We start from the raw sequence: 23500 nt of genomic DNA, 5'->3' as shown, positions 1-23500 counted from the left end.
GTACTCAAGTCCCACAGTGAGCCCTGTGGAGCTCACCTATAGGAAAAGTCGGCCCTCCATACGTGAGGGCTTAACATCCTGGGAATGCTGTATTTTTTTATCTGCATTTGGTTGCACATGCAGAACGCTCAGATGCAGTGGGCCTACTGAAGAAAATCTGCATATCAGTGTATTATCAACAGTCAATTCTGCTTATGAATCTCCTTATATGTATTCCACATCCTCCTCCATATTTTAATATTTTAAAACCCAATGTAGGTACATCTTGCTTTTTTTTTAATTAGTCAAAGATAAGATAAAGAATGCCATCATTTAAAAAAATTATTATATGGCATTCCATAGTAAGACTACACTCAAATTAGGCTAAACACAAAATTTACTGGCCAAATCAAGATACTTTTGAAAGGGAAGAGCATGCTATTCCTAACTACTGCAGAACAGACATAAACAAAGACTGTCCCCGCCAAACCTGGATGAATGATCATCCTAACCATAAATGACCACAACTAATTTTACCATTTCTCTGTTGATGGACACTTAGGTTATTTTTAATCACATGCTACCACAAAAATGCTGCAATGAAAACCTCTTTATGCATGTCATTTCACATAAATGGGAGTGTATCTGTAAATTATAACACTTAGAAGAGAAGTTGCTTAGTCAAAGGATATCTGTATTTTTAAAATTTGATAGGTATTTCCAAATTGTCCTCCCTAAAGGTTGTCACCATTTTCATTTTTTCTGACATAAGCAAGTATTGCCTTTATAATAAGATAAAACAATAAGTTACTTTTGAAATTTAAAAAAAGTCTGAAAAAATGTATATTGAGCAAGTTTAAAGCATTCTTGATCATAAACACATACAGAAACACAAGACTGGAAATAATTAAAGTCAAATGTATTTGGACAAATAGAAGTTCAAAAACAAACATAAACCTCACAAGAAATATGCACAAATCAACAGGTTATGCAGACGGTGAACTAACAAACACTTTGTAAATGTATTGCTTATTAATGTCACTGTGAGCATCCCATCCCCTTTTTATATCTTACACATTCTTCTTTTTGTCCAACTAGGCAAGTTAGTTTTCATTTGAAGTCAATAAATGACAACAAATGGCTGATAGAAACCTGCCTTTTTTCTTCTTGGAGAACAAATAGTTCCAAAAAGGTTATTCTTCTACTTAGAGGCAGCTATTGTAGTACCAACTGTGGCCATTACAGCTGATGGACCTGAAGCCCAAAGTATAGGGGAATCTCCTATAAGATCAACAGGCTGGGAGTATCTGCTAGAATTGTGCGATCTCAACATTGCAAGAGGCAAATATCTACTACCACCAGATACATTCCTGCTTCATGTATTTAAGCTCCAGGAAAAAAAGACACAGCTCCTTTCACATATAAAAAATAAAACCCACACTTGCCAAAATGTGTTTTAAAAATCTCATATATTTAGGCCCTAACCTTAAACATCTTCCTACTACTCACAAGATGCGCCTGATATGAGCTTTATATACAATCATATAAATTTGTATGCCAAGTAGTTACAAACTAAGTACAGAGTGTTCTCAAACATGACAGAAGATTTCTATGAGCACTTTCTAAAGAATGTCATATCCGCATGATGAAACAGTGTTTGAAAATTATTTCCAAAAGAATACACCCCTGAATGAATCCAGTTTAAAAAAATTCAAACTTGTAATGGGTTTGTGAAACTATAGCACCATGCTGGCACATAATAAATATTTACTGAATGATTGCATTTGCGGTGAGGCAGATATTTACCCATTCAAACCATACCTGATGAAATAATACAGAGCTAACAGGTAAAACAGCACTTTCTCAATCACAATGCCTTTAAAAATCAGCGATGCTTTTAAAAAAATGCTATCTGGTCAGTGTCTTCATACTTAACATGGTAACAACAGCTACTAGTCAGAATAATTACATTAGTCTTCTACCAATAGATATTTAGAGGTTACAGGTTGTTTCCAATCATTTGCTACTTCAAAATATGCCTCAATAAATTGTGTGTGTGTGTGTGGGTGTGTGATTTCACATAATTGGGAGTGCATCAGTAGGATTTAAAAAGCCATAGAAATGAAATTGTGCTGAGTATTTCACAGACATTATTCTTTTCATTCTCACAACAGCCCTCCAAGATGAATTCAGTGGTTCCTAACTGACAGATGAGGAAATTAAAACCTAAAGCTCAGAGTGGTAAAATGATTTCTCCAAGGTCATACGGCCAGCAAGTGGTAGAGATGGGATTTAAACCTACCCCCAAGTGCCCAACCTATTTCGCTCCCTTACACAGTCTCATAAATGTTTTCCAGAAAGCAAAAAGCAAACAGCGTAATAGAATACTCGAGCCACATTTGAAGTCTTAATAGCTTACATTCAACACATTAAAACAATGACAGGGATGATGGTTAAGCTGATAGGTTTGTAGCCTGTGCTTGTCTCCCAGGGATGAGTCTGGATCCTAAAATATGAAAAGAGATGGGCACAGTGGCTCATGCCTGTAGTCCCAGCACTTTGGGAGACTGAGGCAGGTGGATCACCTGAGGTCAAGAGTTTGAAACCAGCCTGGCCAACATGGTAAAACCTCATCTCCATGAAAAATACAAAAAAATTAGCCAGGTGTGGTGGCAGTAATCCCAGCTACTTAGGAGGCTGAGGCTGGAGAATCACTTGAACCCGGGAGGTGGAGCTTGCAGTGAGCTGAGATTGTGCCACTGCACTCCAGCCTGGTCGACACAGCAAGGTTCTGTCTCAAAAAAGGAGAGGGGAGGGGAGGGGAGGGGAGGGGAGGGGAGGGGAGGGGAGGGGAGGGGAGGGGAGGGGAGGGGAGGGGATCTTCAAGGATATAAGTCAAAATCAAGATGGTCCTCTTCACACCTTCAACACATTTTATCTTTCTGAGACTTTTACTTGATGACCCCTGCCAGATCCCACCTGATTCTGTACTTAAGCTCTGCCTGGAATAAACCTAGTTCAACAAAACCCATGATATTTCCTGCCGCCTGAGTTTGCATTATAGGAAAGAGTTTTGTTTGAATAATTTAGCACAAATTCCCTCACAGATGGCATATAAGAGAGATTTGTCTTCCTAATTGTATTATAGACGGGAGCTTATGGCAAAGGTCCAGGACACAGAACTTTAAAAATAGCTCTTTAAGCTAATGACCTAATAGCCATTGGCTTTTATAATCCAGTATCTCCCCTTGGGTCCCTTATAATACTTTACACATGCAAAGTGTGTATTACAACCTTTATGAGGAGGACCTGACAACACGTCTCAAAAACCTTAAAAATGTGGGTTTTCTTTGATCTAGCAACTTTACTGCTGGGAATTTGTCCTAAAAAATGATCAGGAAAAAAAGAAGGTTTATGTGCAGTATTGCTCATCACAAGTTGATTTATAGTAGCTTAAAAATAGCAACCACCCAAATGCCCAGCAACAGGAATGCAGTTAAGCAATTTATTGCACATTGATGTGGGAAAAGGGTATACAGCCATCAAAATAGCATTTGCGAAGAATACTTAACAATATACGGAAGTCCTCATGATCAAGGTCCAGGGAAAATGAAGGCTGGAAAAGTGATGCACAGTGTAACCTCAACCATGTCATTTACATACATATCAACATACAGAGAAATTACTAGAGGAATGTCAACCAAATGCTAACAGTCTCTGAGTGGACTGCTATGCATGATTTTATTTGCCCCTTTATATATTTTTTAATTTTTATTTTTACATAGTGATTACATATCATAGTTAAATCTAGAAAAAGATGGCAATGATTTTTTAAAAAAGATTTTCTAAATTGATTGTTGATGCTGTTGACTTTCTCAGCTATTGGTTTTTTCCAGTGACAGCCAAGCCAATTAGACATGGACTATTTTTCTCTTGCCTTCTGTTGTCTGAAAATTCACTGCTTATTGGCATCACCACTGGTGCATAGAAAGAGGAGACACGACAGTAAACTTCAAAGCCATCGTTTTGGTAGGAGAGGCTGATTGCCATACATTGGTTTGGAGAAGATCTGAAAGTCCTACACTGGCTAACATTACTTGGAGATTTTCCTTATCTACATAACCCCTAATGCAGAAACTGTCCCATTCCTGTAGATAACCATATCTTGGTTTGAGGATCTAAGAACCTCTAAATTAGGTACTTCCGTGATGTCACTGAATAGCAGTAGCCTTTGGGAAGTGCCTGCCTCCTCTGAACACTCGTCTGACTCCTCTTTCAGTTTCCTCATTCCCGTTGCCTTATGTCTAGAAAGTTCTTAACCCACCTAAGAATTACTGACTAGGTCCTATCTAACTGCCAAGATACTGAAATCAAAACACAAACACCATGTGACAATACTCTGGTTGTGCGATTTCACAGACTCTAATTACAGTTCATTTCAGCCTGACCTTGCATTATTCCTTTCTGTGTTTTCTCATCCAAGCTTATGAGAGAATCTGTTTCACGTTATTTTCCTTGACCATTACTCATTTAAAATTTGCTACTAAGAGCCTTGCTTTTTTCTGCCAGAAAATCTTATCTCAGAGGTCCTTCTTTTTATTTACTTCACTGTCAAATTCCACATCACTCAAATTCCACTCTTAATTTTCCTTTTGGTATTAAGATGTCTCATATTTTCTTTCCTTAAGTAAAAAAAACTAGTATTGTAAAATATGCAATCTTGGACACTAAAATGTAATATAAAACCAAATCCAATGGTAATTCCCCTAAATCCAATGTATTGCCAATCGTCAAATTTTGTTTCTCTGTGGTTTCTAAACCCCCGAACTGTGTGTATCTCTATACAACTTATAATAATAATTTGAGTGGGGCACTTGCAAGATCATTGTCTTGCATCTGTGAAGATGTTGTTAATTGTGTTACATTTCCAGATGGAGCAGTGTTTAGAAAAGTTTGACAAAGCAGAATTCAGCTCAGCAGCTAACGTTTCTTTTTCTCATACTCAGTGCCCATCTCAGCCTCTCCATTTGCTCCCACCCCTATCAACAAACCAACCAATAATTATTTCTTAGAACTGCTCCTTTCATGTTTCATTCACGCTTAGGTAGAAATCATTGGAGATTAAAATATCCCCAGTCTCAAATATATTTCCAGTTTACTATAAATGAAAGGCTGCTTGCTATAAGGCACCCCTCAAGGAATTTCAGGCTCTGGTAAATACCTAATAAGAATAAAGGTTTCTGAGGTGGCAATGGTTTTCGACATCCTTGACATCAAACCCTATAAAAGCCATCTACTTCCCCTTCCTTTGAGGCCAGGCACCACACCACTCTGGAGACCCACTTTGAATCTTGTCATTACCTGCAGTGATACTGTAGATAATCCAGTATCATATTCCATGGCCGAACACATTATCCATCAGGCTCTTGCTCACCCTCAAAATGCACTAGTTCTTGGACCTCACACCAAACTTTTAACCTGTTGATCACCCAGTGGAACATGTTGGCTCCCTTATAAATTCATTGTTTCCAAATTCAGCTGAGTCCTCACTGAGGCCATAATTTTATCCCATTCCCCTCAACAACAAATCCAACCTCCTGCTTCTCTCTTCATATTCTCTCTGTGACACCCCTCCCACTTACTCTCAGACATCCTTGCCTGCTGCTGCCCTGAGAAAGTCAAGGCCTCCAGAAACGGCACTGTCAATACTCCATTCCTTTTTTATACACTCCTGTGTTCCGTCTCCTTTCCCCTGCTCCGAGGACAAAAGAAGTCTCTCCTTCCTTGTCAAAGTCATCCCTTCCTAACTTCCAAGACTTCACACTTATTTTCCCCTCTCTTCTCTGTCTCTGTCTTCATCTTTTTCTCACCAGTCTTCTCCTTGTCCTATAAACAAGACAAAAAACATTTCTACCCTAACGAACAGTCCTCCAAGGACTGTGTGGCTCCCTGAGCCACACATTCTCTCCTCTTCTTTCTCAGCTCTCCTGCCCACAAGAGTTGATCATAATCACAGTCTTTATTTCTCTCCTCCTGTTTGATCCCCCTCACAATCTGACTTCAATTCTCACCATCTGGTACAAATCCTCTTACGGTCAACAATCATTCCTTACTTGCTAATCCAAGGGACACTTTTCAGTTCTTGCAATGTGCTAAATCTCTACCTGCATTTGACACAGTTCATTACCTCCTATTTCTGCACTCTCCTTCAAATGGATGCTAGAATGCTCCACTTTCCACTGTTTCTCTGTTTCTTTTTCTCAGTCCTCTTCCTGAGTCCCTTTTTCTCCCCCAATCCTTAAACGACAGTTTCTCCAAGTCACACCCCATGGCCAATAACTCTCATCAGTCTATTTTTGTTGGGCGGTGCCATTCATCCTTCTGTCTTTAACCTTTGCCTAAATGTTATTGATTCTTGAATCCCTCTTGTCCGCCCAGAGCTACCTACTAAACATTTCTTTGCCACAAAATGTTCGGAGCAGGGCCACTGTTACAGATGGTGGAAATTATAATTTCCTCCTTTCCTCAAGTGCACAGGTCCAAACCAGGATTCATTCTTCCTCAAAATTAACACCTCTGCCTTAGCATAAGCATGCAAACCAAAATCAATACAGGCTAGTGTCTACTCCACTGCAACGCTAATGCAAAACATATCACTGAAGGAAAAGAGGGCTGATAGAACAAAAGCAAGGCTTAAACTTCAGATTCAAAGGCTCCTGTTGAAACCAGAGAGTCCCTACAGCAATTAAGTGGAAGTGAGGCCACATGTTTTGAAAGTATTTCTTTAACCCCTTGGAAAGCAAAGTTTTGTTAGTGCTATAAGCAGAATGCCTCAGGTCAGAGCTTCGCTGTAAGACTACTGGTTAAAGCACAGAATGGCCACAGAATTATGCGTGCCAGGCAGGCTTACTATTTTCAGCAGTCAAGCTGATGCAGCATATCTAATGTTTTGTGGAGGTCACAGAGTACATTGCCAAGGATACCGTTCTGTGTTACTGAGACACATGGTGACACTCATACCTAATATCCCACGCTGGGACCTGCTGTCCACCAACCATTCTGCAAACATGTGGTTCATGCTGGGCAGACCCTCAGCTGTGTCCTCAGCAATGATGCTATAAATGGCTGTCATTTAGTCTTATCTATTTACTCATGAAAGAGAAATTCAGTCACAATGGCCAGAGAAATGCAAAATAGATTAAATAGCATAGGAACTTTAAAGCATAAATCCTTTCCTGATGATGACGAGGAACAGAATTTTAATCAACAGGTTATTTTTCAGTGAACTAAAGTGAATTTGATGCACAGCTAATATTGAGAATCTGCTTTTAGTGGCATTTTTGGAGTCCTTATTATGTTTCATTATCTTTGAAACCCACTTCAATATTGAATATGGTCCTTGACTTGACTACTTTGACAATGCATCTCCAGTAATCCGAGTACATACAATATATTTACTATAGTATTTGGAAACCACAGGTACTATATAGCTAATGTGTTCAGCCAGATTTAAAACAGGTCCTAGATTTCAGCTGTGCCTCATCTCCTAATTGACTGTTGAGGGCCGACCCTCCTATTCTTTTACTTCGCGTTTCCAAGTAGAGGAAGCTCCCTTAGCATAACCCCTGGGCATTTTTCTGCCCTCTTGCTCATGGGGTATCTGAGTGATGAAGGAACTGAGCATGTTTAGCCAAGCCTCTTCCTCCAACTTCGGGCAAAATGTGCACTTTCTCTTCCACTCCATACTACAGGTTTTACGGGAGCTGCCCCTACAGGAGAGAACTGCATGGTGGGCTCTTCCTGGTGGCTGAGTGGGTAAGTCTGGCTTCGTTCAGGCTAAAAGGGCAGCAGGCACCCTTGCCACAGACCGAAGTCTTCAATTGAGCTCTTCTCATTAAGAAAGCGAGCATTTTGATCTCTAACTCCTGCATCTCTCAAGTGGGGTAACAGGTCACGCAGCATTATTTATCATGAGAAACAAAACCAATTATTAAACAATATCTATGCTGGTTCGGGTGTAGGCATTTACACAGTCAATTCTTATCAGTTTCCCTCAGTTGGTAATTTCTATTTAGTACAATGTTAAGAAGCACTAAATTGTTTTTTTTAATTATATGAGACATTTCTTGATTACATTCTGTGCATATTTTCATTACACCATATGTAGAAGATCAAGAGAATGACAGACTAAAAACACAAAGAGAAAAAAAGAGAAGAAAAAATGTAATAAGACTGCCAATGCACAAAGATGGGCCACATAACCTGAATAGAGAGGTAAATAACATGTCTAGAAATTTGAGAGAAAACTTTTAAATGTTTATCTCTGCAATCAATTTCAAAGTCAAGCAATCTTTCAATGGTTATTTACTATTCATAGTAACTGCCAATACCTCGACCTATAGCCTCGCCTTATTTTATGACAAAGGAGACAATTTACATTTGAGTATATCCTCCAATATCCACAGACATTTCATCAACATTTTGGCCTATTTTAGCAGCATCATATTTTTCTCATTCAGTCTTTCTGAAGGATAGCCAGAAGAAATCATCCATTTTAGAGTATTTTTCTCGCATTAGTTTTTGAAGAAATCTAGATCCAAAAATAAGTAGAACATTATGTCACCACTGTTTTCAATACATATACTCTGTGTGCATGTGGATCAAACCCATGACACACCATTGCAAGGGAATGCAACAGTTCTTGTGTTGTAACTCCGGTGCATCAGGTCAGCTGTCACGTTGGCTCTCCTGAAGCTGGACCTTGATAACTTTTTGTTTTAAAATTATTTTCAGATTACACAATTTATTGTAAAGTGATAGGAAAGCTTTCTTAGTGATGAGTCTGTAATTTCACTATCAATTATGGTTGTAAATACTGGATCCTATTGACCATTTATTCCTCAAATGCCATTTTACTGCCCATTTAAGTAACCGTCATAGCTGCTTTTTTCTTTTTTGAGAAGGAGTCTCGCTCTGTCGCCTAGGCTGAAGTGCAGTGGTGCAATCTCGGCTCACTACAACATCTGTCTCCTGGGTTCAAGAGATTCTCCTGCCTCAGGCTCCTAAATAGCTGGGATTACAGGTGGGTTTCACCATGCCTGGCTAATTTTTGTATTTTTAGTAGAGCCGGGGTTTCACTATGTGGGCCAAGCTGGTCTCGAACTCCTGACCTCGTGGTCCGCCTGTCTTGGCATCCCAGAGTGCTGGGATTACAGGCATGAGCCACCACGCCCGGCCTATAGCTGCCAATTTTAAGGACATTACCTGGGAGGTGAAATGAACTTATCATCTTTTCTGATGCCACTTAAGCACAAGATTTCTAAAAAAAGAGCTATTTATTACTACCAAACAAGTGTAGCAATACTTCCAAAGATAAACACAAAAAGACCTGGATTCTAATCATGCCTTTCTGTGCACTTATTGGTAATACTGGGCAAACTACATAATCTGTCTAAGCCCCAGGTTCCTCATCTATAAAATGCAGTAACACTTACCTACCAGGTTTTCCTAGGGAATAAAGGAGATAATTCAAGTATAGCACCTAACTCAGTACCTAACCCTAAGTAGGTAGTTAAAAGTATGGGCTCTGGAATTTAATTCTGCCTCAGTCATATATTACTACTATTGCTGCTACTATTGACCTTGTCATGATTATTTTTGCATAAATACTTTACTTATTTGGCTGAGAGCAAGTCAAAAGTTAAAAAAAGTTTTGCTGACGTGCTTATAAAGCCAACAAAAACACTTACTGAATATCTCAAACATGCCAGGCATTGTTCTGAGGGCTTTAAATGTATTATCTCATTAATCTTAAAAACACTTTCATTTTAATATTATCCCATGTACAGCATAATATATGAGGAAACCAAGGCACAGAGAGGTAGAGTAACTTCAGCATGTATGCACAGCAAGTGACGAGACAGGGTTCAAATCCAAGCAGGTCCCCCCCTTAACCTCAGCATCCTTTATTCTGCCTTCTTATGCAGACCCATCAGTTTTGTACTGTGCTATGACACACCACTGGGCAGAGCCCTTGCTAGTTCTCAGAACTTGGTGAAAGGAAGAACAGCTTTAAGAATAGAGGAGTTTGAGCAGGTAGGTTTTGCAAGTATTCTGATGGGCACTTATAAGAGCACTGCTGATTGGGATCAAAGAATTATAGGATTGACAATGATTCAGTCCTCATGATGAAGCTGCCCAGTCTAGGCTTGAAAGACTTCAGTAACAAGGAAGTGGTCAATTTCTGATGCATTTCAGCCCATCTTCGGATAACTCTGTATGTGATAGAAAACTCTTCTTTTTTTAAGTTTATTCCCAGCTTTAATGGGGTATAATTAACAAATAAAAATTGTATAAAGTGTATGATGAGATGTTTATCAAAACATCACATTCTACATTTTAAATTTATACAATTTTTGTATAATGATTTTGTGTAGAATGATTAGCATATCACTTCACATAGTTATCATAGAAAACTCATTCTTACATTGTATCAACATGTTGATGCTCCTAGTGACTTCTCCTCATTGGTTCTAAGTATACTTCCAGGAAACTGCCTACATCATGCTGAGGCTCTCTTTCACCCAACTGTCCTTCAGTATTCTGATATTTCATCATGTCTCCCCCAGGCCTATCTCTTCCCCACATTCAAAGCCTTTCCCACATTCAAAACCTCACTCAAAGCTCTGCAGCCCATGGATCAAGGAGTAATTTCAATTTTCAAGTCCTATTATCTAAGAAATATATTTGTAAGGCTATAGCTGCCATAGATAGTGATTCCTCTGATGGATCTGGGCAAAGCAAATTGAAGACCTTCTGGAAAGGATTCATCATGCTAGATGCCATTAAGACCATTTGTGATTCTTGGGGGAGGCTCAAAATATCAACATTAACAAGAGTCTGGAATAAGTTGATTCCAGTCCTCATAGATGATGTGGAGGGGCTCAATGTGACATGACCACCCATATGGCCTGACTCCTACCTTAGTGTCTTCACCACTAGGGATGCCTACTTTAGTGGTTAAGAGTTCAGGGATGAATGAGACAGACTTTGGTTTGAACTCTGGCTCTGTCTTACTAATTTTGTGATCGTGGACAAGTTTCCTTATCTGTGAAACAGGAATAAGAATATCTACAGTATAAGTTGTCAGGGTTAAATAAGAAATTCCCAAGAGCTTAGTGCCATGCCTAGTACACAGTCTGTATCCCCAAATGTTAGTTGCTTGTAGTGGTTATTATCAGCATCATCTTAGACACTGTCAGAGTGTGGGGCACAAATTGGGATGGGATACCTACCCTGGTCCAGACTCAGGGTGGCACAGGTGGAGCAGCAACAGATTCCTAAGCTCCAACCACATACATCACAACTCCAGTGCCAAGGCTGAGACAGTCAAAATGCCCACCTTTCCCTCTCTCAACCATCAGATCCCCTAAAATTTGGGGACCTAATAGTTCACCAGTCCAAGCATACTTGTGGTAAGAAGTACCTGGACCATTGTTAAACATCTTGGAATTCTTCTTAGAGAAAGATACAAAAGCTAAGTGTTATTTTTACCAGGAGACAAAGGAAATTCTAAAAAATCATAAGACTCTATCCAGAACAATGAAAACAGACAACAAACACTAGTTTGAAATATATATATATATTTATCTCATATATATATTTATCATATATTTATTTAATTTATCATATATATGTGTGTGTGTGTGTGTCTGTGTGTGTGTGTATGTGTGTGTGTGTGTGTGTGTGTGTGTGTGTGTGTGTATCCGAAATAGCTAACTTCTAACTATCTTTCCTAAGATGCCAACCCATGACAGAGAGCCCTCGAATCACTATGCATAAAGCAAGGAGATCTTGGCTTGGATGACTGATCCTTGCTTAAAACAGAACAGTGACAACTAGAAAAGAAAACCACTCCAATATCCCACGAGCTTCTAGGCACTGGCAAAACAGCAGTGTCCCATCACTTTCACAACCTACCAAGGTCTAATTTGAGGACACTGCTTATTCATAGTTTGTTCTCTTATTTGTTTTTAATTGGGTGTATCAGTCTGTTCTCACACTGCTATAAAGAACTGCCTGAGACTGGGTAATTTATAAAGGAAAGAGGTTTAATTGACTTACAGTTCTGTAGGGCTGTCTGGGGAGGCCTCAGGAAACTTACAATCATGGCAGAAGGCAAACTCCTCACAGGGCAGTAGGAGAGAGAAATGAGTGCTGAGTAAAGGCGGAAGCCCCTTATAAAACCATAAGATCTCGTGACAACTCACTCACCATCACGAGAACAACACAGGGAAAACCTCCTCCACGATTCAATTATCTCCACCTGATCCTGCCCTTGACATGTGGGGATATTACAATTCAGGGTGAGATTTGGGTGGGGATACAGAGCCAAACCATATTGTAGGGACAAATTATCCTTCAGGTAATTTGGATTTCCTAGACTCAACGGCTTATAGTGAGAACTGACATCAGTCATGCTAACTCTATGGAAGTCCCTGGGAAGTTTCTGGAATAGGATACATTAATTTCACTGAGGACAAAACAGGGATCATATCCACTTTTTTCTGTATAGAAATATCGGGTTTAATGTATGCTGCATTAATCATGCCTACTTTTGTATTCCCCCACAGAACCAAGCACAGACCCTTAACCATACTATGTACTCAATAAGTATTTACTAAATAAATGTTCCCAAATAGCAGGCAAGTGTGTCTTTTATTTTTCATTATAATAACCTCAAGCAATAATGCTTTCACGGGAACCAGGAAAACCTGAAATAGCCTCAATGTGAATTCTCTTCTGCCGCCAGAGCAAATGGGTGAGAGAAGCCTCTGGATTTAGCTATCTGAATTCTAATTCCAGGTCTACCACCTTGGGCAAGTTACTCACCTCCCATGCTCCTTTCCTCATCTGTAAAATGGGAACAATCATATTATCTATACTTCTTACACTTGTTATGAGAAGTAATTGAAATAACATACAAAGTACATAAGGAGAGCTTTGAGCCTATAATGAGCACTAAGTAAATATTAGGTATTGTATTATCTGCTGGCTGATGAGCCTAGGGTAAGTCACTTAACCATGCTGTTCTATAATTTCCTGAAGTGTAAAACAGAGAGGGGGAACACAGTTCCACGGATCCTCCTGCTCTAGGATGGAGAGAAGAGGACTGCTAAGAAGTCCAACACTCCTGACTTAAATTTGACAGGAGATCCCTGATGGTAAATTTTCTGATAGCTGGTCCAAGAATGAAGAAGTAGGCAAAATGTTATAGTCTCCTGTTTTCATCTCTAATAGAGATATATTAGGACTTTAGTGATAAAATCTGATAATACCTGGCTAAGAGGAAAAGGCGGGTGATTTGTAGGGAAAAATGAGAGGGCATTGTCATGCAAAGCATTCACAAGCAATACTTGTTCATTTTTTGCAGGATGGGTAGAGGGAGGTGCTGTTCTCCAAAGCACAGTTGCTTTTCATGCCATTGGTATATTGGGTTTCCCAGAATTTCTCAGTAAACTACAAATTCAGGACAATGGAGGAAAGAAATTTGCTCTACTTTTTAGCATCTATCACTATAAATGACTCAATTCTACTCTTTTGTGTAGGAAAAATACTAAAATCCATTTGCAAGTATCTGGGCTGCTTACTTAATTTTGAGAGATACTTGCTTCATTTTACAAGCTGTTTGCGGGGTTCTGATTATCTATGCTCCAGATACATCCCTGGAAGAGAATAACATACCTAGAGTATGGATGTCAGGATAAAGACATTAACAGGTAGCACTTACTGAGCATTTACTGTGTGTGCATACACTGCAGGCCCCCATATATATCCCCTTTTATCCATAATCTCTTGAATATATTACCATCAAGTTTGACAGATCAAAGAAACTGAGTATGGGAGAGGCTCTGTGACATGTACACTATCACAGAGCTGGTCGGTGATGGCACAGAGATGTGGGCCAAGGTCTATATAGGCCACGGTTTATGCTATGAACCTTCAACTATTAATAACAGAAGATGAATCTTCCCAACTTAAGCACAGTGTTTGAAGTTTACAGGACAATCCTTTGCAGTGTTCCACTGGGAGAGGAAAATAGACCCATCTTCAGAATTGATGCTGCTTGATTTAATCTAGTTAAAAAGCTATAATTGGGGAATCAAATCCTTTCATAACATTCTGCCCAGTGTACTCTCACTGATTGTGTCATTCCAAAGATCTTTTCTATCAAACATTTATCAGTTCTGACAAAAGGGAAAGCAAAAATCACCCCTCCCCCATGACCCAGAAAGAGCAATATTTTTCTCCTTGGTGCAGATACCCAAATACCTATTTAATAATTCTGTCAAATCCTTAGCCCTACAGAAGGGAGATACAGGGATCAATACTTATTTCCAGACTCCAGCCTGAACTTTCCTATTTTAAACATTTCCGTACCAATAATCATTGCCACAGTGGACTATGTAGCCATCCAGATACTAGGGGTAACAATTTTGAATTTTGCTACAGATTTTGCTATCTAATCAGCACAATTTTTAAAGTCTAAATTAATTTATTTTGGGACAGAATGACTGGACCCATGCTAATTCTCATGACAGGTCAAAAACAATTTCCTTTTTGTCTCAGCATTGCACCAAAATTGTTATCCTACTACCAATACTTATTGACACTTTTCCTTTTATTTCTGGATAGGAACTTAGCTAATTGACATTCTCTCAGACTTCTTCAAATGTTACAGGAGACAAGGGAAAGTTAAAATACCACTCAGAAAGCCTGACTCATCCTCACCACACTAGAAAGGGGAAAGTAAGGAAAACTCGTACACCCCAATCACTCTACTAATGGTGAAATAAAATTTTTAAAAGGAAGCAAAAAGGATGACAGAAAGTTGTAACTGGAAACTGAACATGCAAAGTGGAGAGAGGTTGATGGGCCTCTTTTTCAAAAGAAGTAGGACAGGACTGTGACTCTTTCATGCCCATATCTGGCCCTGGCACCAGGAACACCTGAAAAAGGGTACCTTGGCTACTTCTGAACACTGCTCAGAGGCTCGTAACAGAGGCAGAAGCAAAATAAAGCCCCAAACCCACAAGCAATAATGATACTGCCTATGAAAGAGGGTGAGACGTGCAGAAAATGTTTTATAATCAGAATTCTCTCTAGAGAGAAGGCTTTTTAGAGGCCTTTGGGGAGATTTCAGAGGATTCTTAAATACCATTTTCAAGCAAATGTTTACTGAAGTGCATGCTCTTGTGACATCCGTCTATTTCTTCACGGTGTAATTAGGAGGCATAAAGAATAGAATTGTTGGTTACTTTTCCCATTCTGCTGTTCCCCTAGTCTCTTTTTGATCAAATTCCCAGTAGGAATTTAGTTCTTCAACATCAGTGGAATTTTTGCAGAATATCCACTTCTTTTTCTTTCCCATGGTACTTGTCCACATTTTAGTGCCCAAGAATATGAACTGAAGAGCAAGAGAGACTTAAAGAAATTTTGTAAACTGTTTTTTCATATGAGATAAGGCACACAAACTTCCCCCTTGAAAACCATAAACAAGACTTGAAAGCCCCATGTTTATTTACAGCCTTCTCAAAACCTATCACACAAGAGCAGCGACTATACATTCTAATTAGTTCATCTGTATTCTGCTCACACATCGCCATGCTCAAAGAACTTTAAAATGTTCATCATCATTTACGAACAAGCCCTGACTCACCAAGATTTACAAAGTAATCAGCAGCAAAGTTAATTGGAATCTAGATTTTCTAACACCTACAGAAAAATCCATGCAGTTCTGGAGGGGGAAAAAAATACAGCCAAGGAAGCAAGACTAAATTTATGTGCAGCATTTCTAAACTGGAGAGAAAGGAAGGGAGAATAATGTTTAAAACATTTAAATGTGTGTGAGCACAGTATTGTTTCTTTTCCTTTCATATTTAGGTTGGATTAAACAACACAAGGTCAGAAAGAGCCTGGCAGCTTCTACAGATCCAAGTCAGCATTTGGGGCTTCTCATGGGTCAGAAACATCCTGAGGTGGGAAAGAATCAGAATAGTTGTTTTTTTGGTTTGTTTGGTTTGTTTGTTTTTTTGAGACACGGTCTCACTCTGTTGCCCAGGCTGGAGTGCAGTGCTGTAATCATGGCTCACGGCAGCCTTGACCTCCTGGACTAAAGTGATCCTCCTGCCTCAGACTCCAGAGTAGTTGGGACTATGGGGAAGCGCACCACACCTGGCTGATGTTTGTATTTCTGTAGATCCAGGGTTTCACCATGTTGCCCAGGCTATTCTTGAACTCCTAAGCTCAAGTGACCCATCTACCTTGGTCTCCCAAAGTGCTGGGACTACAGGAACATGCCACCATGCCTGACCGATTTATTTTTTTTGTAGAGACAGGGTCTCACTATGTTGCCCAGGCTGGTCTCAAATTCCTGGGCTCAAGTAATCCTCCTGCCTCAGCCTCCCAAAGTGCTGGGATTATAGGCGTGAGCCATCATGCCCAGCCTCAGAAGAGTTTTTAACCAAAGCCCAAAAAAGACAATAGAGAGGGGAGTACACAAGGATGAAGCTTAGAGAGAAGCAAGCACATTTGAGGGAGGGGAAGACTGAGGTTTTCATTCATGTCTATGTACTTCAGAAGCCTAGATTTTCACCATTAACAGAGTGCTGCTTTCCACTGTGCCCTTATGCTTATATAAGGTAAATGACAGTCAGACTTGTGTGGCCCTGAAAGCCTTCTGCAGGAATTTGAAGTCTTTCATTGCTGCAGTGAAAGGGCAGGAGAGTCACAGAATCCCCACTGTGCTTTGACACATGAGCTTTGACAAAGGCCAGGAGGAATAGAAAGGAAAAGGTAGATGTGTGTGTGAGAGAGTGTGGACTTAGAATCTACAGAACTTTGGAACAACTAGATGGAGGGGTGAGTGCTGGGAACACTTCCAGGATGCTGGCTATAAGAATTGTGCTGCCAATAAAGGACATAAGGTGTTAAGGGAAATAAGGAATGCAGATGGAGGAACGGGTTGTTTGATTCATTACACTTTGGACAGTTTGGACAGAATAAAGTGGAGAAATTGTCAGGAACACAGGAAAAGAAGTCTAGGTAGTACTTGGAAATAAGCCCTGGAAAGAGATCGGGACTATCAATAGAGACTTGGGAATTTTTGGCATATGGACTTGGGGTTCCTTAGCATGTAGACAGTGGTTTAAAAGAAAAGAGCAAGCAGAGTTGTCAAGAGAAAAATGATAGACAGAGGTGCACAAGAATCAAAGACAGAACCAGAAGAAATATCTGCGTTGGGTAGGGGTAGGGTGCATATAAAGGAAATGTAGGAGAGCTAGAAGCTGTGGTGTGGCAACAGCCAACAAGAAAGCTAATTTCAGGTAGTGACTGACCAATGGTATCAAACACATAGGAGGTAGCTGATGGGGGTTAGTGACCCTGAGAGTAGGTTTAATCCCATGAAGCAGTGGAAGTCAGGCTGGTACGAGCTTAAGATGTGAGATGATGAGGGATGATGATGTAAATGGAGACTATTTTTGCAACGAGTTGCACCTGAAGAAGAGGATGAAGAAAACGGGAGTCGGAGGATGCAGCCAGGTTCAGGAAAGGGGGATTTAAGAGTAAAAGAGGGCTTAGTAGGTTTGTAGACTGAAGGGTAGCAGCTGATGGTAAGATGAGGGGTTGAAAATGTGAGAGAGATGGACTATAATAGTGGGGCTTGGTTCAGAAGATTCTTGAAGGAAGTAGGATCAAGACAGGGAGGAGGCACCCTTCTTCCTTTACAACTTTGGGAAAGAGAACAGGACACAGGTTACATGGAACATCTAAGACAGAAGAGGAAATTGAAGGTGCTCCTGTAAGATAACTTGAAGCTGGACTTTTGATTTATCTTTATTATGTTTTAGGGGGCAAAAACAGCAAGGATATTTTATTTAAAAATCTACAATTCTTAGAGTACTGTATTTAAAAGACAACATAAATTGCCTTCCACATATATTGTCATAATCCCCAGCCCAGCTCTATCCTGCCAAATTAATCTGCCAAACCAGATAAAATATTTTTTTTCAGCCACGAAGACAATGCTCTTTTGGATAATACAAAACCAAACAAAAATCTGTAGGTGTTTCTCAAAGCTAAATTTCTGCATTAGTAAGTCAAACATTTATCATAATCTCAGATGGTGAAGACATGTCTGCTGAGATTCAAAATCCAACAGTTTTAACAAAGAAAGAAGCTCTGCTTGCACTGAGATTATATACAGGAACCCTCCTCTTTATAGCATCAATCCAATCATTCATGAGCTAGAATTATGCCACATGCTGAAGGGGTTCATAGAAAATGGTCTCTAAATTTCAAAAAATTTACTGTACCAAGGTGGAAATACACAAATGCATCTTTCATAAATACAATATGGTTGACATCATCGTAGGAAACTGTACCATGGGCACAGGAACCCACTCAGAAGCACCTAACAGGGCTTCAGTGAGGTGATGTGAGCTGGGTCTCCAAGGCTGACTTCAGGTTTGCCTCTTCTCTGATGAGGGAAGGGCTGGGACGGTAATGGCATTGGGAGGTGGAGGAAATAGAAATGAGGGACAGGATATGAGGCTGGGCAGACTGTGGAAAGGAATATGGATTGTAACATGCTGGGGAATAGAACCAACAAAGATTTTGAACTGGAAAGAAGCATAATCAGACATTACTGCCTAATTTGTTTTAAACCATTCATTTAGCCAGTGGCTTAAACGATACCCTCCTATACACCGCCCCTTTTTGGTGAAATTCCCATAAGATCTAAGGCAGGCATCTCATTCCTGCCTTTACAACTCTAAGAGACAAACTTTGAAGTTTTTTTTTTCAATGTTGGTATCAGTTTTTATGACTCTTTAGAGAAGAGTGAAATGGTCCAAGAGTTGTCACCAAAGTGTCAAAGTGACATAAAAGCACAGCACACACCGTTTATGGGTGGCTGCTACTTGGGCTGATGTATACGGAGCAGCTTTATTTAAAGCTTTATGCAAACTGACATCCAGGCACCGTGAGGGGTCCTTGAGGAACGTGAAACACCATCATCACCAGGCTGACACGTGTGGCCACTGTGATAAGGTAGATAATCTGCAACCCTTAAAACCTAGCTGTTGGACATCAAGTTTCAGAGGAGATTGAGTTGAGCATGAGGATAAGAGAAAAAAAAAAGTGTGTATTGGTGTCAAAGTCAGCTCTCCAGGATTCTTATTCAGATCCTAACCTCACAATTAAAGCCCCCACAAAAGCCCACACTGATTGTAGCCACCTTCACTAGAGTGTAGTTTAGAACCGCCCTTGGCACTTCCAACCCTCCAGAACACCTTCACCCTATGTGGCTTAGGTAAGGATTCCTTCCATGCAGTGTCGGGAGAGGTTTCTGGTAAATCAAGTTTCCCTCATCACCTTAAATTTCTAGTGGTGTTTTAACACCTCACTGATAAAAATTGTGCTGGGTCTGCTCACCAGGCCACCTTTATTAAGAATTCTCCTCATCATTCTAATTACACACACACACACACACACACACACACAGAGGCAATAAAGATTTTTAAAACACACACATTTTAACATCTTTGCTTGATTTAGATCTATTTATTGCAAGAAAAAGCATCAGTTTAAACTTCCCTGGATACCTTTTTAAAAATCATCTCTTCCATCGATTCTTGTAAACTCTAAATGTATGAGAGAGTGGAGTTAGGTATATTTTTAGTGTGTTTTATGCACACTAGTACATGAGGCTCCCTTGTATAACCCTTTTTACGAAGCTTCAAAGGTAATTTTACATTTATCTTTGCATTTATGACATTGTTGGTCATGATGACCACTTGATGCCTAGTCCTTATAAATGGAGGCAACTCCTCCATCCTGGTATTGATGCTATGGAAAGATGAGAACCATTTTACAACGGCCCACAGGATGATACAATTTGCAACATTAGAACACAAGGAAGGTCTGCATTTATTATGTGTCAAGATTGTCAAGCAATCGATACAGAACTGGTTTTGTATCCCAAAGAAATAGAGATAGATTCCTGGAATGGCCATTAATGATAGTTAAAATAAACAGAATTCTGTGTCGAATGGCTGCTTTAATAGCAGATAGGCTATATAAAGAGCTCTATTAACCTAGCTGGATGCTGTATGCCAAATACCTTCCCTTATTCAGGGGAGATTTCTTGGAAAAAGTAGATCCTGTGGTGAATTTTAAAGAACAGCAGTTATATGATTTTATCTCTTAGAAACCCAGTCTCTTAGTTTCAAAAACACTCCTCAAATTGCTTGGTTCAAAGGGTAATTTCCCAGTTTGTTTTTATCAAGATTATGTCTATACTGAAAGAAGCCACAAGACAGGAGGAAATGCTCAGGCTTCCAGGAATTCAAAGTCAGATGGATTCAAATCCCATCTCAGCTGCTGCTTAAGATATGGGGCTTGACTTAATTCATCTAAGTCTCAGTTTCCTCCACTGTAGATGGGGAGGCGTAATATAATGTACTTCCTAGGCAGGGTCCAAGCAATAGATGTAAACTGCCCAGTGTCTGGGCACATCAGGGCACTCAAAAACTTGTAGCTAATTTAATAGCAGAGTTAATGATCAAAAAGGTAGAACCAGGGACCTTGACACTGGCAGTCATCTCTGCATGTTATGATATTTTCTTTTTCTTTCCTTTTTTTTTTTTTTTTTTGAGATAGAGTTTTGCCCTTGTTGCCCAGGCTGGAATGCAATGGGATGATATCAGCTTGCTGCAACCTCTGCCTCCCAGGTTCAAGCAATTCTCCTACCTCAGCCTCTCAAATGGCTGGGATTACAGATGTGCACCACCATGCCCAGCTAATTTTTGTATTTTTAGTAGAGACAGGGTTTTGCCATGTTGGTCAGGCTGGTCTTGAACTCCTGACCTCAGGTGATCCACCCGCCTCGGCCTCCCAAAGTGCTGGGATTTGGCTAACTTCTTTTTTCAGATCATTTTCCAGATTTCTGCTCTACATACTACCTTTCAATGAGGACTCTGCCAACCACTCTATTTAAAATTACTGGCCAGGTGTGGTGGCTCACACCTGTAATCCCAACACCTTCAGAGACTGAGGCAGGCAGACCCCCTGAGCCCAGGAGTTCAAGACCAACCTGGGCAATACAGTGAAACCCTGTCTCTACAAAAAGTACAAGAAAAATTAACCAGACACAGTAGCAAATGCCTGTGGTGCCAGCTACTCAGAAAACAGATTAGGAGGATTCACTGAACCTGGGAGGTCGAGGTTGTGAGCTGTGATCACGCCGCTGCACTGCAGCCTGGGCAACAGAATGAGACCGTCTCAAAAATAAAATAAAATAAAATAACACTCTACAGTCTTTCACCTCAGCACTTTACACCCTTGTTTATAGAACTTGCTTTCTAACCATATAAGAAAAAAAAATTCTTGTTTGTTTTACCATTATTATCTGTTTTCTCATTAGAAGATAAGCTCCTCAAGGGCATTTTGCCTGCTGATCAATTTCCAGTACCTGGTGATTTTCTGATATTTGTTGAATGAATGAAAGAACTTCACTTAGATTTGTTTTGCATTTTGAATGCTGGATTAGTCAAAAAGGGGTGATGCTTCCTCCCAGTACTCACACCCCAGCTTTAGAGTCAGGGCAACACCCAGTACACTGCTAACCAAGTGTCCTTAGAACCAATGGAAGGCGGTCAACTAGCTCTAACATAGGCATACCATGTAGTTGTGAGTGACAGAAAGCTTTGATAGGCTTCAGTATTCACCGCATGCTCTTTTGCCTAAAATCCTTCACATTTATGCCCATCAAGTGGCACAGGGGAAAGATGTTTGAACTTTCCATGAAAACAGTAGGACACGCTTGCTAAATCAACACCACCCTGAGTGTGATGTCAATCAAGTTCATAACGTTCAACAGAAACCTGCTTTTTGCAATTTGTGAACAGTTTTCACATCCGCTAACTATTCATGCCTTGTTCGAGCAGATGTGTCAACATCTCAGCAAAACCCCAAATATCAATCAAATGGCAATGACTGGAATTTTAATCAACTACAGGAGTTCTCAAAAAGAATGGAGAAGACTCCATGGCAACAAACATGTCACAAAGTGGATAATGCCTTTTAATCCTGACTACTGAATCTTCAACATCCACCCTACCCTTCTGCAAGTAGAGCACAAATTCTACAAGACCAAGGACTATGTTCATGTCTTGTTCCCTGCACAGTGCTCGACACCTAATAGGGACATGATAAATATTTATGGAATGAATGAATGAACTTAGTTAATTCAAGACATACTTCAAAGACCCTTTACAAAACCCAATTGACACGGTTCAAGGACTAGGCATGAAAGACAAAAATTTTTTTTCACAGGATGGATGAGACTTGGCAGCAGTATATATGGACAAAAATCTGAGAAGTTTTATTTTTCTCAAGCTTAATGTGAGAAGAGGGCCAACTGTGCAATTCATCTGCTAAGTAAGCTAATGCCATCTCAGCCTAAATTAATAACTAATAGAAGCAGTGTGTCCAGAGGATAGGAAATAATGGTTCCCCTGCAGTTTTTACTGGTTAGACCACACCTAGAGGAAGGTTGTACAGGTCTGAGTGCACATTTTAGGAAGAAATACTGACAAAATGAATAGTCCAGAAACAACATCTCATAGGTGACAGCAGAAGGAATTGGGAAGCATGAGCACATGCCTGGCATTGCCAACCAGAGTAAGAGAGGTATGTGGAGCAGTCCCACATCCCATCACCTTGGCCAACCTCAGCAGAGCCACCAATTCAGCCATCTCAGATGCATGAGCAATGAACACTTGTTTTACACTCCTGAGGTTTTGTGATTGTTGCCTAGTTCAATTGCAATAATAGATAAATGACAAAAAGAGAAACAGTGGAAGATCTATTAAATACAAGTGGAAGCAAAATAGTTCCTTTTCCTTAGAAGAAGGGAATGGAAAAACCGATTCAAATGGCTCTCAGGAAGAAAACTTTGGATTCAGAAAATTGTAGTTTTATAAGGATTGAAGCCAACCATGAAAAGAACAGGCTTCAGTGAATTTGAGCTTGGAAACCAACAAAGCTGGCCACCACACCACAGCTTCTCCTGAACCTGACTTGCTCTGGCCTAATACTACTGAGCTTGAGAATTCACTTAGGTCAAGGATATTATCTGTTTTGTTTTTACGTCACTATACATTGAGATAACAGTGCAGGATCTGGTGCATAGTAGGTATGCAATACATAGTAGGTAAACCAAAAATGAATGGAGGATGCCAAAACTGGCCTCCAGTCCCTGGATCCAAGAGGGAAGATGGCTGAAACTGGCTCAAGAATCTTTCATCAGAGGTCACCACCAGCGCACCATGAAGTCTGATCCACTGACACCAACATCCCCTTGAAATCAGGCTCCCTTCCTCCGTTCTTTCATTGCTATCATTCAGAGTTACCACTTTCTTTTAATCACCATGAAGAGGGATCCCACGTCCTTTACCAG

The 23500-nt window shown here is 40.0% G+C and overlaps 1 protein-coding gene and 1 long non-coding RNA gene across 42 annotated transcripts in view; one reads left to right on the top strand and one right to left on the bottom strand.

The window, feature by feature from the left end:
* The window catches only part of LIMCH1 (LIM and calponin homology domains 1), a 340438-nt gene that overhangs the window by 122956 nt on the left and 193982 nt on the right, over nt 1-23500 (bottom strand). The window lies entirely within an intron of this gene.
* Nucleotides 1-23500, top strand: part of LOC105374423 (uncharacterized) — a 38461-nt gene that overhangs the window by 4826 nt on the left and 10135 nt on the right. Inside the window, exon 1 of the long non-coding RNA XR_001741667.2 lies at nt 1-23500. This exon is cut by the window's left edge and continues 4826 nt beyond it. This is a non-coding gene — a long non-coding RNA (uncharacterized LOC105374423).

The sequence above is a fragment of the Homo sapiens genome, chromosome 4 (assembly GCF_000001405.40).
Source record: "Homo sapiens chromosome 4, GRCh38.p14 Primary Assembly".
In the NCBI taxonomy this organism is placed as follows: Eukaryota; Metazoa; Chordata; class Mammalia; order Primates; family Hominidae; genus Homo; species Homo sapiens.
This window is presented reverse-complemented; position numbering and strand designations above follow the sequence as displayed.